Source organism: Homo sapiens, chromosome 9, assembly GCF_000001405.40.
Source record: "Homo sapiens chromosome 9, GRCh38.p14 Primary Assembly".
Lineage (NCBI taxonomy): Eukaryota > Metazoa > Chordata > Mammalia > Primates > Hominidae > Homo > Homo sapiens.
The window spans coordinates 81,978,105-81,998,142 of record NC_000009.12 but is presented as its reverse complement, the minus strand read 5'-3'; the positions used below and the strand labels follow the sequence as shown (position 1 = coordinate 81,998,142).

General features: G+C 41.8%; 1 protein-coding gene and 1 long non-coding RNA gene across 3 annotated transcripts in view; both read right to left on the bottom strand.

Annotated features, from left to right (window-relative positions):
* Window positions 1–20,038, bottom strand: part of LOC105376107 (uncharacterized) — a 378,142-nt gene that overhangs the window by 357,244 nt on the left and 860 nt on the right. The window lies entirely within an intron of this gene.
* SPATA31D1 (SPATA31 subfamily D member 1) lies at window positions 2,890–10,738 on the bottom strand. 2 transcript variants are annotated; one of them, XM_017014710.3, is made up of 4 exons: window positions 10,529–10,738; window positions 8,320–8,365; window positions 7,657–7,726; window positions 2,890–7,370 (listed from the first exon to the last, which is right to left on the bottom strand). In XM_017014710.3, exons 1-4 carry the CDS (start codon window positions 10,601–10,603, stop codon window positions 2,942–2,944), a joined length of 4,620 nt encoding a protein of 1,539 aa, XP_016870199.1. In that variant the 5' UTR covers window positions 10,604–10,738; the 3' UTR covers window positions 2,890–2,941. The 2 variants fall into 2 exon arrangements, with proteins under 2 accessions (XP_016870199.1, NP_001001670.1); NM_001001670.3 differs by lacking the exon at window positions 10,529–10,738 and adding an exon at window positions 9,139–9,371.

The window sequence follows — 20,038 nt, the reverse complement described above, 5'->3', positions numbered from 1 at the left end:
TGGTGCGCACCTGTAATCCCAGCTACTCAGGAGCCTGAGTTGGGAAAATCACTTGAACCCAGGAGGCAGAGGTTGCAGTGAGCCGGGAACGCGCCACTGCACTCCAGCCTGGGCAACAGAGCGAGACTCTGTCTCAAAAAAAAATGAAGAAACCTTGGAAGGAAACAAAGGAGGGATGGATATAGTTTTTTGAAGAATTTTTTATGAAACGTTTCTATCCAATGGATTCTAGTTTCCCGAATGGTGAGGCCAGCACATCTGCTGAGCAAGTGGAGATGGCCTAAACTTGAGAAAAGTGCAGAAGGTTTGAAATACATGGGTGAAAAAGTGGACTAAGGAAAAATGACCAAAGCTTCATTAGTATTGTTCTCTGTTAGTAAGCACAGGATAAGTATTTTTTGGATGAATGAGTGAATTATTTCCAGGTAGTGCTAAGACTGACCATGCATTTATCATGGTGTCAGTAGACTTGATTGTGAGATTTAATCCAACAGTGATAGGTCATTTAAGGGAAGACATTTATGGAAAAGGCAGAGAGATGGGATTTTGTCAGACAGGAAGGATTAAAGGGAATTGCATATGGCATATTTCAAGTAGGGCTTGTTAAATATTGGTTATAGGATAGACCGTAAAACCTGCATTGAAGAAGGAGGAAATTAAGTCAAAAACTTGGTAGACAGATAAGTAGAAAAATAATAACCCAGTGTGAAAATTTGACAAATTGAGGGGCTAGGCTGGAAGGATAGTAGGATGAGGTCAAAGGGTGGAATGTTAGACTGTATTATTACAGATGTAGAGGTGGTTTTGATGAGGCCAGGCATGGTGGCTCATGCCTATAATCCCAGCACTTTGAGAGGCATGGCAGGCGGATCACTTGAGGTCAGGAGTTCAAGACCAGCCTGGCCAACATGGTGAAAGCTTATCTCTACAAAAAAAAAAAAAAAACAAAACAAACAAACAAAAAAAAAACAGCTGGGCATCATGGCATGTGCCTTTAATCCCACCTATGCAGGAGGCTGAGGCAGGAGAATCACTTGAACCTGGTAGGCAGAGGTTGCAGTGAGCCAAGAACGTGCCACTGCACACCAGGCCAGGCAACTGAGCAAGACTCTGCCTCCAAAAAAAGAGGTGTTTCTGATGATAACTTTTAGATGTTTCTGATGACAGCTTCTGGGTGTGGCAGTAACTGAAATGGAATGGAGGTAAAGGACCCTAAGATGGAATGACAGAGGAATTAGGAGGCCAGGTAATTGGCAAGTCTATCCACATGGATGTTTGGGTCCTCCATGGATTCTCCACATCCACAAGTTCTTTGCCCTGGGTTTCATCCCAATTTTGTGCTTCTTAAGGCCTTCACAGAATCTGAATTATTTCTGCAATCCTAAGATTCAGGCACTGCAGGGTCAGTGGCATAAGCATGGACAGGAAAAGAGAAGGATAGTGAAGAAGCTGTAGTGGACATCTGTTTTGTTTTGTTTTGTTTTGTTATGCTTTGTTGTGTTTTGTTTTTGTTTTGACACCAAGCATTCACAAATTTTTCTGGAGAACTTACCTCAAGTGCCCTCTAGAAAACTCACTTCATTTATTAGTCCCAGTCTGTATAAGTGGAATTGCCTTCTCTTCAGGCCCCTAATATTTTAAGTGTGCATATGTGCACACTCTTAGAAATAAGGAGCATTCTGTAAAGATTCATAGTAAGCCCCCAAATATCTGTAACCCTCATGCGTAGTCCAGGACTAACCTCTGGACCATGAGCTGCAGGTATTCTAGACAATATCTATTATATTCCACTAAGCCCATGAACATCATGGGTGACACCTCCATCCTGATAGGTGCACTGTATACACTAAGGGAAGATCTTGCATATTGCCATCAACATGGCTAGAAAGAAGGCACAAAGATCACCTTCCCTAAAGAGAGGGATGCCATGTTGACAACAGCCCTGCAGATACTGTTTAAGTCCTTAAAGAACAGCCCGAGGTACACTTCTGCCAAAATGGCATCTGTAACCTCTGCAGCATCCTGGTAAGCCTCAAGGGGATGGTGCCTAGATCTAGATTAAGAAAGGGTCATGAAATGGGCATGATGGGGCATAAACCTTTTTCCACCAGCATGGTCATTCTTTCCTAGCTTCACTTTTTTCTTACTTTCTCATCATTCTAAGGCATCTTTTCCTTACTCTAAGCTATATTTTACCCTAGGAGGTAGGTGGTTGCCTGGTCAACAGTCCTGCCACAGACAGCTAGGTGAATTTTTGCTCTGTAAAAATGTCATCAATCCAGGCAGCATGGAGAAATACACAGGGAGGGGAACTACATCTCCAGAGTGACTTATTAGTAGAAAGACCTCAACGTTGAGGTCAAAATATGCCTCCCTAAATCATGAGCATGCCCTGCTTGTCAAATTCTTAAGCAGCATCCACAGTGTTCCTGACACTCTACCCCAACCAGCAATATCCCAAACACTCCCACCAACCTATAAGATACTGTGGTCTGTGACAACTTTTTTTAAACAGTGCTTAAACCACTATTTCTGAAAAATATACCTGTCCTTCACCCTGTCTTCAGATATGGAAGGGCTGCCTTCCTCACTGCTCTAAAGGATATGAAGCAGTGAATGGGGAGGAAGGTGAAGGCCGCCATACAATATCAGTAAGTCTCAAGCAAAGAGGTAGGAAAGACCTCATCTCCTCGGACCTCATCAGGGAGAGAAGGGGCTTTTGGAGGCACATGATACTCATTCCACCACAACAGCTCCAGGGGGTTCGGCACATTTTAAAAGTCAAAGCAGGGAGTCAGTAAGAGCTGAGCTAACCCCACCTTTCCCTAACCACTAGCTTCGGTTACCCAAAACCCATACCCCACAACACAATACACAGAAAAGACATCCTTCTTATTGGAACATTTATTGGGGAGAATCAAGATTCTCAACAAGGAGTGAATTATTTTGTGGGGGGAAATTTTCCTCCCTGTAAATGCTTTGGAAGCATTTTCTGTCCAGTTAGGAAAGGCACATCACTAAACACAGGGCTTTTAGCACTGGTTGGGACGGCTGGACACACCAGGCTGACCTGACGCCGGCAAGTGGGGTTTGGATGTGGCACAGGCTTCCTGTGGGGCATGGATTGGGGATGGCTTTGACACAGTATCTTCCCCTTAAATGCCTCAACTTTCTGGGGCTGTCTGTCCTTGTCTATGATCTGTCTAATCCTTGTAGGATAATTCTGGCCAACAAAGATAGCTTGTTGGCTGCAAGATTTGGTACGTGTCACTTTGCAGGAGGGAGCCCTGTAGTTGCAGGGACAGCCCTGGACAGGCTCTGCTCTGACATGCACTTCTGGGTTGTGCTGAGCTTTCCCAAGCCCCACTGGGAAGGAAAGGGGCTCTTGGGGACAGGTGATATCTATCCCATGCCTATGCCCCAGCTTCTCTTCTAGGAACTCCCTAGTGTCTTTCCTAATTTTCTGAGCTTCAGTAGTCCCAGTAAAGGCAGCTCTTATAACTCGACCAATATTCTGCACACATGATGACAGGGAGCTACCCTTTTCCCAGGAACTTTCTTGTTCTTCATATGATATGCTGGGTTTATTAAACCACTGCAAAGAGGTCTTCATCCATTTTCTGAAAAGGTTTTCAGGAGGAGGCTGTGTTTTCAAGGTTGGGGAAGATTTGCTCCCAAGCACCTCCCCTGATGTCTTGTTATGAACAGGGAGGCTCTTTCTCCTGCGTTGGGATGTCCCCAGCCCTGCATCCCCTCCATCAAGCTCTCCTCCTTTGGGTCTCACAGGACTCACTCTGTTTACAGCTGGTGGGAAATTCGTAACTTGACACTTCTGTAAGACACAGGTAGGGACCCTGGGCTCCTGCTTCTGTGCCACACGGATTCCGCTGTCCTCCAAGTGGACATGCACCACCTGGGAAGTTCCCATGTCCCCACTCGAGATGCCCTGGGAATTAGTCAGTAAGTCCTTGGAACTCAAGTTATCTAAGGCAAAAGACATGTCAGTGAAATGGCTCTGAGGTTGGCTATGCTTCCTCTGGACCAACTTTAACTGGCTCAACATCTGATTTTTAAGGTATGATGATTTAGGATCTTGAGGAACTGATATTCTTGGTGGGAAAATTTCAGTTTCATTGGAAGTGCTTGCTTTCACATTTGTCAGTGAGCAGCTTCCTGACTTGCTGGTTGTCAAGTTGTTCCTAGTTTGTGATTGAAGAGCATTGGTGACAGGAAAGGTCTTTCTACTGCCCTGAAGCCTGTCTACATTATGAAAGGAACTCTTTCTCTTATCCCATGACTCACAGCCAGCTCCAGCTTGCATTATGGGCAGCTCTGCGCTGCATCTACTGGCCAGTACAGTCTGTTTCTGACTGACTTCGTCTACGATGCTGTGTGGCGGGGGCAGAAAAGTCTGTCTGCCATCCTCTGTTGTCCGGACACTTTCTGTAAGATCATTGTCAGTATCAGAGAATTCTCTTCTCAGGGTCCCCTGCTTTTCTTGGTTGACAGGTGAAGTGACAAGGTAAGAATGACCGAGGATGGGGAATGAGCTTGTTGAATCTAATTTTTCGCTTTGAAAATCTGTAGTACCTCTTCTAAGGGATGTGGAGGCCCCGTCTTTGGAATCTGTCTCTATAAGGTCATGGTCAGTATCAGAAAATTGTCTTCTCAGGGTCCCCTGCCCTTCTTGGACGACAGGTGAGGAGACAGGGTGAGGACGATCAAGGATGGGGACTGAGCTTGTTGTTCCCAACTTTTCTCCTTGAAAAGTGCTTCGACTACGGGACTTAGAGACCCCATCTTTGGAATCTCCCTGAGAGATGAAGGTGGCTGAGGAGGGAAGGTCGAAATGGGAAAAGGAAGTGGAAAGGTCCGCTTTCGATTTGAAGATTTCTATGGATTCAAGGACCTTGAGGGGAAGGCCCCACAGCATCCTCATACGGAAAGTTTTAATATGGGCTTCCAACATCTTTTGTTTGTTGGAACTAAGGAAGGAAATTTCCTGGGAAGTATCAACGCAGTGGTCCTCACTCACCAATGTTACCAGATTTCGATGTTTAATTTGGCTGTGGGATTTCTCAGGAAGAGACATTGTCTGCTTGACTGAGTGCCATGAACTATGCACAGTCCCAGGCATTCGACCCTCATTGATTTCCTCAAATTTCTTGCTCAAACGTACTGTCAGGGCATTTTCAAGTTGTTTCTGACCTAGTCTCACCCCTGAGTCATTCCCTGACAGATGCATCATATGAGTTTCTAGGTCTCTCTCAGAGTTAGACCTCAGATCCTTGTCTGAAGAAGTCTCCGGACCATGCAACAGGTGATCTTTTGGGACAGTCTCCTGGCTGTATCCCTGATAATTCCCCACATTCTCCATGGAAAGCATATTTGAGCTCCTCTCGTGGAAGCTTCTAGGGAAGCTTGATGCGGACTTCTTTAGAACATTGCACCTCTGACCCTCAACCAAAGAGATATTTAACGGTCCATGAATTCTCTCTGACACAGATAGCTCTGAAATTTTGCTCTGAGGACGTAGCAATGACAGAGACTCATGGATTCTGCGGGGCAGGCCCCATCTGCGCTGGATGAGCCTCCTTCGAATGTGTTGCTCTAGTTTCTTCCTTACCTCAGAGCTGAGTGGAAAATCTCCAGGAATGATGGAGATCGGAACATGGACCTTGAAGGACTTTCTGACCAATTCAGGATTGGGAGCTGGAGGACAAAAGTCTTCCTGGGATTTTTGAACCACAGAGGGTAAGCCCCACAAACTTTCCTGCACTTTCTGCAACACGTTCCACTCCAGATGGTTAATTTCAGATGGCAAAAGAGACCGTGCCTCGTTCTGGGGTCTATGAAAACACACTCCACAGATCCTAATCAGGAATAGAGGACTAGGTAGTAGGGCTCGGAATGGAGATTGAGGTTGAGCCAGGGACTTCACCTGAGTGAGATGTGGGGACTGACCTTGGGGCAGGGTTTGAGGCAAGGGTAGTGGTTGGGTACTAGGCAAGGACAGAGGTTGGGGAGGGGGAAGTACTGGGGATTCATGGGATATAGATGTATTTGTAATGCCATTGAAGAATACAAACATGGAGGAATGGCCACGTTGGACAAGAACAGTAGGATGCAGAGACTCGCTGTGCAAAGATGGGAGACCCCAGAAGAGCTGGACATATTTTTGCTCTAAATGGTCTTCAAAGCATTTAGAGTGTGGAGGCTGCTGATGGATGTGCTGCCATTCTAGTTTGCCTTTACTGGCCCAAAAAGGAAAGGATTCTGCCAAGTCATGCTTAACAGCAATTGAGGTTAACATATTCCGTGAGGAATTTAGTTGGTAGTTTGGCCTAAGTTGTTTTGGGAATGATCCTGGTTTCTTTCCATTTTCTTTCCACATCAGGAAATCACCCCTTTTTTTGACTTGTCTCTCCAGGAGTGCCAGAATGTCATGGCTGAGAAATGAGATGTTAACAGGCTCTATGAGGTTGGCCACAGAGTGCCCCCCTAAAAAGGCCTCAGAAGAATGAAGGGTAAGAAGCTCCTCCATGAAATCAGATGGCACAAAATTAGAGGAAAAAGAGTCCTTGGCATGAGGCTGCCACCAGGTGAATTCTGAAGATGCAAGGTGTGAATGGTCAATGCCTTTGATTGTTGGGGCAGAGGTGGATGACCCACCAGAGCCACCTAGAGATAACATTTCCGGAAAAGTCTTCAAGATGGTGAGACTTGATTTAGACTGAGTCACAGTGCAATCTTCCGGTGGTAAAGCAGATGGGATTGGTGGTCCGTGATGACGAGCACAAGAATCAATGGGATTCATGGCCTGCGAAATATCTTGGCATAGGGTGGAGCCAAATGAAAAGATGGTGTTCAGAGACAAACTGGCTTCAGGTTGGAGGCTGGACTCCACTCTCTCAATGTGATGTGGTGGGAGAAGGGGAAAGGGAAGCTGTTGGGGTGGGGAATGGTCTATGGGGAACTTGGAATCCAAGGGAGAAACAGGCTGTGGTGGCAGAGGGTCCCTCAGTGGTGAGGGTGAAAATAAGTCAGCTAAGGTGGTGATCAGGTCAGGTGAGAGAATTAAGGGGGGTGGTGGAGAGGCCTTAGGCCGAGGGGACAGTATTAGGTCTTCTGGAGGGGTTGCTGAGGGGGTGGAAGCCAGAGTGAACGATGACTCAGTCGCAGAAGCCGAAGAAGCCAAAGGGGACACAGAGGGAGCAGCATCTTTCAGGGACTCCCAAGACAGCAGTTGCTGGATATCAGCAGTTGCTCTCTTACACACCCGACAGACGGGGTCTGGGCATAACAGTCGACGAAAGTGGTTGGTATCATGATGCTGGCCCCGAGGACTGCAGGAAACAGGAGGTCCAAAGCTGCAGTCAGGACCAGAACAAGGAAAGGAGATTTGTTAGCCTGGCAGGGGTGGGTTCCCTAAAGCCTGCTGCCCATATCACATTGCCCCCAACCCAGGACCTCACCGTATATGAGGTCCTATGACCTCACTATAGCCTCTCCCCAACACATTCATTCACATACCCATTCCTATGGCTACCCACTCCCAAAACTACAGCAGGCTACAAGGAATCCCTGAAATGAATAGAACGTACTAAAGAAGAAGGAGTGGGGTGGGAACAGGACACAAAGGGAAAGATTAATCACCTTTTCAGAAGAGAAAGCAGCTTCCTTTCCTCTTCCTCTTCTCTCTGGAAACTTTTCCAGTCTGGGAAACCTGAATAGTATGTTATATGCAATGAAGATAGAGGCACACGGCTCATACAGAAGTCAATCTGTGGAAGACCCTTGGGATATTAAACTCTGAGAGCCCCAAGAATCAGTAGAAAAGGGAAAATAGTCATTGATAATATTCACAAGTTCACATGTGTATGTGGCATCATTAGTAAAGTCCTTTCACATACATTACCCCATGTGATGCTCAAAACCACCACGTGAAACACAGACATCAGTGGTTACCTCCAGGAGGAATCCGAGCATTGAGGAAGTCAAAGTACGTATGCAAAGTTGTGAGACAGAAGCTCTGACTCCAAGCCCACCAGCAGTCCCTCCTGGATATCTCAGTTGGCCACCAATTGGGCAACACCCATTGCTCAGGTCCATCACTTTGTCCTGCCCGTAAATGGGCAGAGCAGGGCCTCTGAGCAGTGTCTCAGGTCTGATTGCTTTCCCATGAGCCTGTCTTCTGAGGGCTCTGTTTTCTAAGACTGCATCTAGTAACTGACATTCTAAGAAATCATGGGACTGAGTCATCATGAAAGAGACAGAAAGGGTCACCCCTGAAGCTCAGATAGAGCAGGCTGACATTACCTTTGAATGTCCCACCTTTCCTTCTCCTCTTGGCTCTGCCCTGATGCTGAGAACAAAAGACAGATAATGACAGGCTGGGACTCACTTCTCTCACTCTCTATGAAGCTCATTCATTCATTCATTCATTCATTCATTCATTATACAAGAATATTACTCTTTAATTAATAGAAATATGTTCCTGTTATCAATTTTTAATGGTGATAAAATAGCTCCCATTTTTCCTTCTCTGAAAAATCCTCAAAGAAGATTTTGCTGTGAGAGCCACACTTGATGTACTCAGTTAGCAATTCTGAAGGAGGGCAAAGACTCAGAGGTCAACAGTCACATCTGTGCTCCCTCATGGGACAAGTGTCACGGAGACAGGCCTATAGCTCCAGCCTCTGCTCAGAGACTCTCAGCATTACTCCTCTGGTCAGCCCAACACGAAGGAAGACTTGGTCAAGTGACAGGTGACATGGGAATCTGACTCATGATCAAATTTCAGCAGAGACCGTTCTCCTTCAGAGAGCCCACAATCTCTAAATAATCCCACCTGGGACCACAGAATTACTGTGTTTGGGATTTTATCCTGGAACTCTCCACCACAGCCAGATAGGTAGCTTCACATGGAAAACTATGAGCTTCAGATGGAAACCTTAGTCCTCCTGAACCCCTATGTCTGCCCAACCTCTTCCATAGAAGAGTGAAGTTCTATCCTCTCTTCAGACTTCCCATCTAAAACATGTCTCTGTACCAACCAAACTTATTTAGAAATGTTGGAATAGGATTGGGAAACAACAACAGGGCATCTCTCTTGGGTGTTCACCCACAGTTCCTTACCTTTTGGATGTCATTATTTTTTTCGGTGGGTGACGAATACAGGGTCAATACCACGTAGAACAAGTACAGTATAAACAACCCCAACCCACTCAAGCAGATGAAGTTGGGGTCGATATCCAACCAATGTGAGTCAGGGCTCAGCCCTGTCTCAGTATAGCTGTTCAGAAAACAGAGGATATTCTCCATGGTCTGAATAGCTCAGCTGCCTGAAGCAACTGAGCACTGAGGGTGCCCAGGCTTAACTATAAGCACAGGCCTGCATCACAGAGCATGGAAGAGTCACAGAAGGTTTCTAAGGGTGCAGGGAGCAACAAGAGGAGGGTGTGTCCACAGCCCCAACCCCACCAGCCCAGCTGACTCTCCTGGGCCCTCTAGGTCCCTCTGCCCTACCTTGCCACTCCATTTCCCAACTCCATCCCTTTTCATGTCATATATTTATCTTAGTGGAATTTTTGGTTTGTTCCAACAGTAAACCAGGCATTACCCAAGTCCCGCTTTACTGTTTGGAGCTCTTAACTTGGACCCCACCAACCACACTGCCTTGAAAGCCTGAAATACTGCCTGGAATATTTGTTGTACCCAGGCATTGCCACTCTCAGGATCACATATGTCCTCAAATCCATCTTACCTACAGAACGTTTCTGCCTTACATAAATGCAGATATAAAACTTAAATTTCCTTTATACTTGCTTCGTTTTGTGAATGTTGAACATTACATTTTTTGTTTTGAAGTCAGTTTTTACTATTTCCAATCAGAGTGACTGTCTCAAATGATTAAAACTAATGTTATCAAGGAAAAGAAGCTCACTGCCCAATTTGGGTTTTTGAGAAAAGAAGGTTTTTATTGTAAATTAACGAACAATAAGACAGGAGTCCAGATCAAACCTGTCCCCTGTGCTGGCTTTCATGGGGTCATTTTATTAGAAAAAGTTTAGGGAGTGGCCTCTGGAATTAATAGTTGATTGGTGGAAGGAAAGCGGAGGTCTGTAAGTCCTCCGCATGCACAGTTCTGTTTAACGCTGCCTCATGTATTCCATGTGCACATTTGTGGGGAGTTGGTTGAAACGTGGCAGAAATTTGGGCTGTGACGCCAGCCAGCTTGTTCTGTGCCAACTCCAGTTGGCCTTAATAGTTTTAATTCATTTTAGCCAGTTTTTTAATCTCAGAAGCAGGGAGAGTTTTGGCATTTTAGTAAGTTATTGTTGTTGTTGTTTTTTAATCGCCTATCCTGTAAACTGATTATTTCATTAGTCACTGTTTTCTTCAACTCTCTGGGGCATGGTTTCACTAATAATGCATTATTTAACATCTATAAAACAAAAATAAGTGTACAATAAATATATATAATTAAAACTTCAAGGGATCTTGGGGGTTAATTTATAGAACTTACTTTTCTGAAGTTAGTGAGGTTTAAACTGTTCAAGCACTTTTGGAACATACTCTCTACACAAACACACATACACATCGACCTAAAAGGAAGAAGTTGAGGCAAATTATTATAAACACACAGTTCATTTGGGTCAAGCTTGAGGATTGCGACCTGGGAACACAGATGCAAGTCCCCCTGAATATACACTCCAATTAGCAGCAGTTATGAGTGGGTTTTCAAAGTCAAAAAAAGAGGTCAAGGAGTGGGCTGATACAAAGTTGTAATCAGGAATTCTCATTGGTTTACAGAAGCGACATTGATTAGTGATTGGCTATACATTGTTAAGCTATATGGGGTGGGTTATCCTGTCAGGTGTGGCATTATTGGGTTACTATATAGCTCCATGTGGCAATAGCAAGCAGTTTCAAGAGATGAATACATAGCTCAAGGAGGAAATAGGGCTGTGATTTCTGTCTCATTTTAATGTCTCTCTAGGCCTGATAACTTAAGAGGACTCACATGCCTCAGATAAAAGTTCTTTTCTTTACAAACACACCCACACACCCATCCTGTGACAAATCTATCAGTATTTTCAAATCCAGAATCAATTAGTTCCTCCTTTTATTTCAATCTTATTTGTCATTATGACCCCACATTTCTAACTCTCCCTCAAATACAGACAGTCCCAGCCCTCCACATCAATTTGGTAACAAGTATGCAACTCCCTTAAAGCAGGGATAGGTTACAGTGCGCTAAGCTATTATGACCTAAAAGACCAAAATAGATGCCCCTTTATCAACTAAGACAGGCCCTAAGGGTAAGGAAACAAAGTTACCTATGGGTCAAGGGTTCAGGGCCTGGATGGCATGGCAAATTTCTAACTTTCTATAAATAGACTGCCTCTAACCAAACGAGCTATCAGCTCTGATCGGACAGAGGACCGGCCTTACAAACATTCTTTTCTGATAAGCTACTAATATTACAGATTGCCAGTATCTGCCAGCATATAGAGGCTGCATACAAACCACCTTTGTGTCCCATAGTTTACCTTATGATGTAAAGGACCAAATTCTACCTCATTTTAGTGCTAAAACCCCATTCCAAAGTGAACATGGGATGTATGATACATATATTTACTCATTGTGGTGTGCTCAGCTCCCACAGAAGTATGTATAGCTTCTCCCCAAAACTTGTTGAGTATGTATGAATATGAATGTAAAACACAACCTGTCCTTCCCCTATTCCAACAGAGAGCACCTTCATTCCACACTGGATGCTGTCCCTTCCTGGTTTGCAAACTGATAAGAGCAATGAGGCTCTCCTTTCTACTATTAAGTCATCCTGCTGGTATTGTGGATGATACTACTGATCCCATCAGTGTTTGGTAGCAGAGTGAGACTTAGGTGTGTCAAAGCCTTAGAGCAGAATGTAGTCTTAAGCAACCTCACCTGACTACACTGTGGGTCATGTAAATGTGATCTTTTCCCGAGTGCCTTGGCATCCAAAAAAACTTGAGAACATCTGCTCTATATTCTACATAATCACTTCTGCAAATGTCCAAATACCAACTGCCTGTCACACTTTATTCGGGTGACTCTTGTCAGTTTAAATAATTCCAATATCCCCCACCCCTAACCCACCTTCCTACACATTCTTTTCTAAACTCTTTATCATGACAGCTGTCCTCTAAACTGTCTTTTAATTTCTTATGTCTTTCTTAAACTATTGTTAAAGCAAAGTAAGTATGGCTTGAGAAGGACTCCATACTTCTATATTTGAGTCCTTGGGGATGAACTGTAACCTAGCTTAATAGTCAGACAAATTGAAAACCTAACTCAATAGTATGCACCTGTAACAACAGCTGAGTGTTGGCCAATCCCAGCGGCCATAATTCAACCACTCACAGACTGCTGAATGTTCAAACTGTGTTCAAATAAGGCAAACGCCAAGCTGTAACCAATCTCACTCTTTCTGTACCTCACTTCCAATTCCTATACATCACTTTACCTTTTTTGTCTATAAATTTGTTCTAACCACGAGGCATCCGTGGAGTCTCTGTGAATCTGCTCTGATTCTGGGGTCTGCCCAATTCACAAGTCATTCATTGCTCAAACTCCTTTAAATTTAATTTGTCTGAAGTTTCTTTTAACACTATAAAGCTCTTTATTTGACACCCATTGGCCACCACTGTTTGTTGATCTCTTTTGAAGGGCTAAGACAGCCTCCAAGCCAGGCCAGGTCTCTTTTCAATTATGCAGGAGCAGGTAACCTGCCTTGAGGATAAAATCTGCCAAGAGATGCCCCTTCCTCTTCTCTTTAATATGCAGTCTCGGCCGAGTTTTCATCTAATAAATACTTACTGCTGGAAACTAGGAGACACAAGCATCTGTAAGCCACGGGCTCTGCCATTTACCTCCTGGTGCAGTTGGAGCGATTAATTCTACACAGCTCAAGAGGTATACAAATGCAGAGGAGAGGTTCCCCCGCCTCCAGCATTTACAATCGCCAAGTGATCTCTGGAACAGAGATACTGTGAGTCATAACTCCTCAGACACATCATGCTCTTTAGCAAAAAATCCCTGCATGTGCACTCTCTCCAATTTTCTAATATGGATTAATGATTCTTTGAGGAGATGGTCAAAGAACAGCTTCTCTCTTTTAAACTGTCATTCATTGGCTAGATATCTTTACAAACATATGTATGCCTACAGTTGAAACCTACCAGAAGTTTCAGTAAAAAGGCTTTTCCCCAAATGCTAATAAGATTCCTTTTCTGAACCTGGTAGAAGCGCCTTCAAAATGTAAAGGAACAAGAGACTAGAGATATATTTATTTTCTTTTCCTGTACCACCAACAGTAAATTCCATTGACATTGAGTGACAGTGCTTCACACCACTTATCCTTTCTGCACTAGCACCAACTATAAATAATAAATTTGTCTACTTTATGAAGAATTCTACTTCCAGCCATCTCAGTGCATTTTCACAACTTACAAGGTCAGCAGGTCAGGTATTATACCTATTTTTTTTATTGTTAATATTTGTTTTTATTGTAACAGGCACTTTGATCTTACTCTGAATATTGTGCCTATTTTATCAGTGAATGAAACCGAAGCCCAGAGAGGGTAAGTGACTTCTCTAGATCAGACAGTAGTAAATATTAGAGCCCTAATGAATAAATTCTCTACATTCATAATGCTTCTACTTTACACAATATTAATATGTAATTTCTTTTCTTTTTTTTTTTTTTTTTTTTTGAGACGTAGTCTCGTTCTGTCGCCCAGGCTGGAGTGCAGTGGCACGATCTCGGCTTACTGCAAGCTCCGCCTCCCGAGTTCACACCATTCTCCTGCCTCAGCTTCCTGAGTCACTGGGGCTACAGGCGCCCGCCACCATGCCCGGCTAATTTTTTGTATTTTTAGTACAGATGGGGTTTCACCGTGTTAGCCAGGATGGTCTCAATCTCCTGACCTCGTGATCCGCCCGCCTTGGCCTTCCAAAATCCTGGGATTACAGGCGTGAGCCTCCATGCCCTGCAATATGTAATTTCTTAAAGTAAAAAGTATGCTGTAATATTCAAATTAAAGTAGTCATACATTTAAGAATATTCACTTTGTCCATTAAAAGCTGGCAAATTTGGGAAGTAACGAAAAGCTATTTTTGGTACTCTATCACCTCTTAGATAACTTTTACTTTCCACTCGTAGCATCAGTGTCTTCATAGGTTTTTTTTTTCCTATCCCCCTCTTAAAATCTGCTTTTAAGAACTATATTACTTATGACTACCAGTAACGTATAAAATAAAAGTTTAAAATGTCATCCCTCCCAGGAAAACATTTCACACATTCTACCACCAAGCCTTGTAATAAGCTCTTACCAAAGCATTTTAAGCAGCCTGTGGGAGGTGGCAGAGGTGGCTTCTGGTAGGATAAGACTGTCTCACCCCTGGACCCATGACATCTTCCCAATTTACCTACACCGTCACCCAGAAGTCTGGTCTTAGATTTCACATTGCACTTGGTTTTATTATCTCCAAGGAGAAGTCTTTTCCAAAAGCTCTTAGAGTAATATGCTACCACTTGAGGATGCTCAGTATAGATAAACTACTAGTTTAGGACTTTCATATCTTCCCAATTGCCTAGGAAGGCTCCTCAATGCTCTCGCCCTCATATCGTGACCACTGTCCTTGGGATAAGCCACTTGGAGGCAGCTGTTTTCAGGATCCCCAAAAGCCTGAAGCAGAACAGGTTCTGAGGCAAAATCCTTTATAATTGTATTTTAAAACAGTAGTTTTATCCCAGCACTTTGGGAGGCCAGGGTGGGTGGATCACCTCCCTTTTACATATCAAGGGATCTGCAAAAACACTCCTAGAAGTTATACATTAGTTCAGCAAAGTCAAAGGATACAAAATAAAGACGAAATCCTATTGTTTCTATATATTATCAATCAGTACATAGGCAAGAAATTTAAAAGTGCAGTATCATATGGAATAACTAAAAAAAATACTTAAGTGTAAATCTAATAAAACATGTACAAGACTTGTATGCTAAAAACTACACAGTACCAATGAATGAAATGCAGAAGACCTAAATAAATGGAAAGCTTTAGTATAGCATGTTCATGGGTTGGAAGATTTAATATATAAAGATGTCAGTTCTCCCCTAATTATACAAATGTTTAATACAGTTGCTATCAAAATCTCAGCATATTTTTATACACAAGATTATTCTACAAATTATATAGAAAGGGCAAGGAACAGGAACAGCTCAATTTTGGAAAAGAAGAATAAATTAGAAAAAATCAGTCTATCTAATTTTAAGACTTGCTATGTAACTACAGGAATCAAGACTCTGTAGTGTTAACAGAGAGATACACAGACCAGTGAAACAGAACAGAAAACCCAGAAATAGACCCACACAAATATGCTCGATGAATTTTTGACAAAGTACAAAAAACAATTCAATGGAGTAAACATATTCAATTCAATTCAGTAGTGTTGAGCATATGGATATCCATAGAGGCAAAAAAAAATCCTCTGCCTAAGTCTCACACCTTACACAAAAATTAATTCAAAATGAATCACAGACTTGGATGTAAATACTAAACTATAAAACTTTCAGGGAAAAAAAAGAGAAAGTCTTCAGGGTCAAAGGCCAGGCAGAGTCTTAGACATGACAACAAAAGCACAATTCATAAAAGGAAAAAATGGCTAAGTTGAATTTCATCAAAGTTTAAAACTATTGCTCTGTAAAATACTCTATTGAGAAGATGAAAAGAAGCTACAGACTGGGAGAAACTCTTAACAAATCATCTATCCAACACAGGCGTCGTATCTAGAATATGTTAAGAACTCTGACAACTCAACAATAAAAAAAGCAAACAATCCTACTAGAACATGGACAAAAGCCTTGAAGAGACATTTTACCAGAGAAGATATACAGATGGAAAATAAGCACATGAAAAAGGTTCACCATCATTAGCCACTCAGAAAATGCAAATTAAAACCACAGTGAGATATCACTACACACTTGTCAGAGCAGCGCATTTTGTTTCTAAAAAATAGTGACAACACCAAATGCTGACAAAGATGAGGTGAAACTGGATCACTCATACACTGCTGACGGAAATGTAAAACGGTACGGCTACAGCTTGACAGCTTCATAAAAAACTAAACATGCAACTATCATACAACTCAGCAATCATACTCCTGGTCATTTATCATAAAGAAATGAAGATTTATGTTCACATGAAAACTGTACAGAAATGTTTATGAAAGCTTTATTCATAACAGCTCAACACTGGAAACAACCCAATTGTCATTTAATGAGTGGTAAAGCAAATTGCAGTACACCCATGCCATGGAATAAAAATAATAAACTACTGATAAATCCAACAGCTTAAATGACACTCAAAAGAATTAAGCTGAGGGGGAAAAAATTCCCCCAAAATTATGTACTATATGATTCCATATATATATATATATATATATATATATATATATATATATATATATATATATATTCCATGTGTACATATATATATATATATATAATATTACTGAAATGGCAAAAATGTAACATTGGAAAACAGATTAGATGGAGTGGAGGGAGGTAGGAAGTGGGTATGTCTATAAAATGGCAACATGAGGGGTTCTCATGGTGAGAGAAATGTTCTGTGTCTTGGCTATTTCAATGTCAATGTCAATGGTTGTGATATCATACTACAATTTTGTAAGATGTTACCACTGGAGGAAAATGGGTTAAGTGTACATGAGATCTCTCTATTATTTCTTACAACCACACATGAATGTATATTTATCTCAAAATAAAAAGTTTAATTCAAAAAAAAACCTCAAACTGAATGGGGGAATAAGGATGTGTTTGCTATCTTGAGTGTAATGATTTAACATGTACATATTCATGTATATCAAAACTCCTCAAATTGTACACTTTAAATGCATGCATTTTTTGCATGTCAATTACTCCTCAATAAAATAAGGGGTGGGGTGCTGGGAGGGAATACAGTATGTCTCTTCCTCTTCCCTTCCTAATTCAATCTTATAATCATTAGTTAAGTCAAGCAAAATAGGTATCCAAACCTAAAGAGGAGGAAGGGAGCAGTTAGGAGCTGTTACAGTGTCCCAGAGCAGAGTGTAAGAGCTGAAGCAGGGTGAATAGGCATTTATCATAGAAAGGTTGCCTGGTTCCAGGTTTTGGATATCCAGTGAGTTGAGGAGGGTGCCTACATAACACAGCTGCTGGGCACATAGAGGTCTAAGCCCAAGTGGGTGGAAGAGGACAGCCATACCTGAAGGGCCATGGTGGTGATGAGAGATTGCTTACAGACAGGAGGACTGACTAAATAAGCAAATATGTTTAGGCTAATGGGAACCAGATTTCTCATTGTTGGAGAAAGAAGTCACCAATGTGGAAAGGAAGAAAACTAGAATAAACCCTGTAGTGTTAAATTACAACTAGAGGTACTGATGTAAACTCATGATTTTCAAGATACATAGATATGTAGAGAAATAGGTTGAGATTTAAATGTGTGAACATGTATGTATACTAGCTCTGTCCATCGAGAGGGCCTAAAACCAACACCACCTAAGATTAATAATAATGAACACAAGTAGCACTCCGACCTTGACTTCTAAATACCATTCTCCAATAAAGGAACAAGGGGTACTAAGAGAAATGGCTGGACCCAGGACTGATGCAGCAAAAGTATACGATGAGCCTGAAACATCTTTTTGTATCAGAAAGTAAGAAATAACAGAGATATATCCAAAGAACACAGAAGTCAAATTGAAGTAACTAGCTAAATCTATGACAATTTGGGCATCAAAATAAATATTGATAGTAACAGACTGAATTGGATTCAGTAAGAAAACAAGAATCTACATTGATATAAAGTAAGTCAATAGATAGAAAATTTTATGTGGAATTGCATATCTGTTTTTGTTTTGGAATGGGACATTTAACCTCAACGAGAATATTTTAATTTTGACTCAGATTGTGAACATGTATTACTAATATAATTAAAAATGTACTTCAAAGTACAGCTGATGATCTGAAGGTTCTTAAAGTCTATTGGGGGGAAGCATAGTGAACAGTGAGAATTCTAGGATTTCTTTGCCCAGCATATATTTCCACTTCATCCACATATTAGTAGACTAGCTATGGAGAAAATGAAGAGAGAAGCATAGAATAGCTGTTCTGTTTCTAGCTTGGGTGTCCTGGTGCTACTAATTAATAATGGGGATATCAGAGGAAAAGCAGCTTGGTGACAGAAGACGATAGTTCAGTTCGTAAGATTTTACCTTGAGGATGTTTAGCAATCAGTTGGTTTCACTGGCTTAAAATTCAAAGAATTAAGTTAGTGCTAAAATAGTTAACTACACGAGGGGATAACTTATCTAAGGAAACTGAAAAAAAAAGAAAAGTAGTAGACCAAGGGCAGTAAGAAAATAAACACTTAGAAAAAAGCTTTCTGCAGTTTGTAATAGGACAGTTTATAAGCAAGTACAATTACGAACAAACACAGTAAGCAAAATATTTTTTAAAATGTTTTAATTAGCAACTGCTCAAATGTCAACAAAAAGTAAAATTAACAGATATTTCTCATAAGAAGACATACAAGCTGCCAAACATGAAAAAATGCTCAGCATTACTAATCATCAGAGAAATGCAAATTAAAGCCACAGTGAGATACCATCTCACACCCGTCAGAATGGCTACTAAGAAGTCAAAAAACAACAGGTGCTGGTGAGGCCACAGAAAAAAGTGAATGCTTATACACTGCTGTGAGGAATGTAAATTACTTCAGCCACTGTGGAAAGCAATTTGGGGATTTCTCAAAGAACTTAAAACAGACCCACCATTCTGTCCCACATTCTCACTCTGGGTATATATCCAAAATTATTCACTCTCCCAAAAACACGCATGCACTCATATGTTCGTTGCAGCACTATTCACAATAGCAAACACATGGAATCAACCGAGGTGTCTATCAATGGTGAAGTGGATAAAGACATTGTGGTACATGTACAGCGTGGAATACTATGCATCCATAAAAAAACGAGGAAATCATGTCCTCTGCAGCAGCATGGGTGCAGCTGGAAGCCATTACACTTTGCAAATTAAAGCAGGAACAGAAAGTCAAATACCGCATGTTCTCACTTATAGTGGGAATTAAACACTGGGTACTCATGGACATAAAGATGGCAACAATAGACACTAGGGACTACTAGAGGGGGGCAGGAAGGGGAAAGCGTTGAAAAAGTAACAATTGAGTATTATGCTCAGTACCTGGGTGACAGGATCATTTGTATCCAACACCTCAGCATCATGCAATATACCCAGGTAATGAACCTGCATATGTACCCCCTGAATCTAAAATAAAAGTTGAAATTATATTTTAAAAAACTAGAAACTACTCAAACATCGATACAAAGTAAAATTAATATTCTACCATTTAATATATTATAAAAAGATTATGAAAGTTTATAATCACATAAAATGTACATGATGTGTTTTTCTTTTTAAGTACTTATTTAAGCAATGTAAAAAAATTTTTCATAGCAAAATCTGGAAATAAACATCAAAATGCTAAGAATAATTGTTTTAAGGATGGAAATCTACAGGGTTCTGCCTTCTACTTTTCCGTATCTTTCAAATTTGCTATACAGATGCTCCTTGACTTACAAGGGGGTCGCATCTGATTAAACCCATCATGAGTTGAAAATACCATAAGTAGAACCATCAAGTCAGGGACTGTCCGTATACTACTTTCCTTTCTTTTTTTTTTTTTTTTTTTTTTTTGAGAGGGAGTCTTGCTCTGTCACCCAGGCTGGAGTGCAGTGGCTTGATTTTGGCTCACTGCAAGCTCCGCCTCCCTGGTTCACACCATTCTCCTGCCTCAACCTCCCAAGTAGCTGGGACTACAGGCGCCTGCCACCATGCCCGGCTAATTTTTTTTGCATTTTTAGTAGAGACGGGGTTTCACCATGTTAGCCAGGATGGGCTCGATCTCC

Bases quoted from the DNA above. Each gene is read 5' to 3' on its own strand.
- SPATA31D1 (NM_001001670.3), bottom strand. From the start codon at position 9,324: ATGGAGAATATCCTCTGTTTTCTGAACAGCTATACTGAGACAGGGCTG. The intron at 8,366-9,138 runs GTAAGGAACTGT...TTTTGTTCTCAG, and splicing joins AAAATAATGACATCCAAAAG to CATCAGGGCAGAGCCAAGAG. The intron at 7,371-7,656 runs GTGATTAATCTT...TCCTGACTGCAG, and splicing joins CTGCTTTCTCTTCTGAAAAG to CTTTGGACCTCCTGTTTCCT.